General features: G+C 40.5%; 2 annotated features.

The window, feature by feature from the left end:
* Positions 826-2025: an enhancer, noted in NCBI's record as "P300/CBP strongly-dependent group 1 enhancer chr3:64048916-64050115 (GRCh37/hg19 assembly coordinates)". NCBI's record gives its function as "activates an origin of replication core promoter dependent on BRD2, BRD4, P300/CBP, MED14 and CDK7 cofactors, with strong dependence on P300/CBP, by STARR-seq in HCT116 cells {active_cell/tissue: HCT116}" and the evidence as "EXISTENCE:reporter gene assay evidence [ECO:0000049][PMID:35650434]".
* Positions 876-1699: an enhancer, noted in NCBI's record as "OCT4-NANOG hESC enhancer chr3:64048966-64049789 (GRCh37/hg19 assembly coordinates)". NCBI's record gives its function as "activates a minimal SCP1, AML or CMV promoter by ChIP-STARR-seq in naive H9 embryonic stem cells {active_cell/tissue: H9 hESC(naive)}" and the evidence as "EXISTENCE:reporter gene assay evidence [ECO:0000049][PMID:30033119]".

The following is a 2285-nucleotide window of genomic DNA, read 5'->3' on the forward strand; positions in this document are numbered from 1 at the left end:
TGGGCTGGCCAGGCGTCTGGATTACTTAATTCAAGTGGTTGATGCCAGTAAGCAGTGGGAAGATAAGAGGCTAAAGGAACAATCACTATGGATCAGATGAATAAAAGCCCTTTCTGCACTCTCTCTCTCTCTCATATAATACTGTGGCATCTCACTTCTTACTAAGACAAGGCTATTCCATCCTCTTGACAACAAGATAGGCTTTATTTCGCCTCTAGAATGGCCTCCAGCCCTATCTCTAGGTCACCAGCTCTTTCGCAAATGACACCAGCCTATGCCATGCTGATGTTTTCTTCAACTTTTTTCTTGGATGTGGCATTAAAAAAAAAAAAAACGATCAAGGCAGAAAATCAAGGCTTTTGATTTTTAGGAGAGAGGAAAGGAAGTGGGGTGGCTCTAGTTCCCCAAGTTACTAAGGAAACACATCCCACCAGGATGTTGAAGTTCCAGGATGATAAGAAAGGATACTTACTGAGACTAGCTGAGACTGATGCATTAATGAAACTCAGTATCAGTCTCCACAACGACCCTCCATGAACTAAAGGTCAGAGTCAAGTGCACTTTGAGCTAAGCAGAAGGAATTTGGTTCTCAGACAGATTGCTCACTAAATCAGTTGTCCTCGCAGTTCATACAGGAATTTTTCAACTTCTTGATTCTACCTTGGATAATAAACCTATTGCATAATTCATTGGCTCTTAATCAAAACACTGTGGATCTTCAAAATTGACCAGTGAGTGCCCTGACTTGAAGCCCCTTTTTTCCTCTAGTCTGTTAACTAATGAGTGTTTTCTACTTAATAGTTGCTGACACTTGGGAAATACTTTGAAAATATATTTGGGTTTCTTTTGGAAAAATGTTTCCATGATCAAAAAACAGACCTTCTCATTTTATCAGGAACAAAAATCCAGTTACCAGAGCATTCTGCTAGCAGTGATGATATGCTCCTGCTGCTGCCTGTGGACCTGACTCTACTCCATGTTGCATATTTTTTAAAACTAGGAAAGTTTTCCTTAACTGGAGGACTACACTCTTATCACATATTTCAAGATGCTTTTCTGCTTTAATTCTCAGGTGTGGTGTTGTTTGTTCTGCCTCCTGGGAAGCAGCTTTCAAACTCATTGTTCAAGTGTCCTTGGAATGAAAAAGACAAACCATCCCGTCAAGGGAACAATAGTTTCTACTTAGGGGGAAAGTACATCTTGCCAATTTCAGTTTGCATTGTCCCAAACATGTTTGTAAAACTCTACCCTGAATTATCTGTGATGAATACAGTATAAAGTTAACCCCCCACATGGAATGACTAACAAAAGCAGATGCGAAACAGCTAACAAAGAAAGCAAACACAAAGATAAAACAGCATGCGTCAAATCCTATGTCAATCATAAGAAAATGTTTTTCACATCTAATCATCGAAGATTAAAGGCTGGATATTTAAGGAATGTGAAAGAGGATGTCCTTCAGCAAACAATTTAAATAAGGTGAGAAGGCCATGTGGTGGGTGGAATGGGAAAAAAGAAATTTGAAAGGCAGACTTGGGGTTCGAGGTTCTATCTCTTCCATGAAATAGTTGGGTCAAAAGAGGTCATCTAACTAGTTTCCAAGACTCATTGTCACCACTTGTAGACAGAGACAATAGCAACAACAGCTCTCTATCCACCTTGTCAGGAACGAGGGAGGATCCAATGAGATAAGATACATGAAGTCACTATACAGTGCCATATAAATGTCTGCATTTCTAAAACAAAAGTTGGCAGTTGAAAGAGCAATGGCAAGTGAATGGATATGACTGTGGAGTTGTGGGAGCAGAGAATGGCCTGCACCTGCGGTCTGACCACCCCTGTTTCCCTGTCCCTCAGGAAGGCCAGATCATCAGACCTTTTCAGGGGTGTAGGGGGGACTCAGGGGCAGGCCACTCAGCTATGGGGCTAAGCAAGGCTCTGGGACTTCTCTCCTGTTCACACTGATGGCCCTCCTTCACTAATTGTTTCCAGGGAAAAATCAAGTGTGTCCTAGCTTGAAAGAATAATTATTGAATTAGCAGTTCCCAAACTCAGTGATGCATCAAGAATTACTCTGGGGGCCTTTATTTAAAAAGTACTAATTCTCACACTCCCAGACCCCTGCTCACCTTACAAAATCTGAATTGTTGGGGTCATACCCAGGAATACATATATTTTAATTATTATAATATTGAAGTATCAGATATCCAAGAAAAAGAGTGTCCCCAAATCCCAATCCCAAAGCATATCAATTTAAAATTTTTTTCCATTTTTAACTTCTAATC

This window comes from Homo sapiens, chromosome 3 (genome assembly GCF_000001405.40).
Source record: "Homo sapiens chromosome 3, GRCh38.p14 Primary Assembly".
Lineage (NCBI taxonomy): Eukaryota > Metazoa > Chordata > Mammalia > Primates > Hominidae > Homo > Homo sapiens.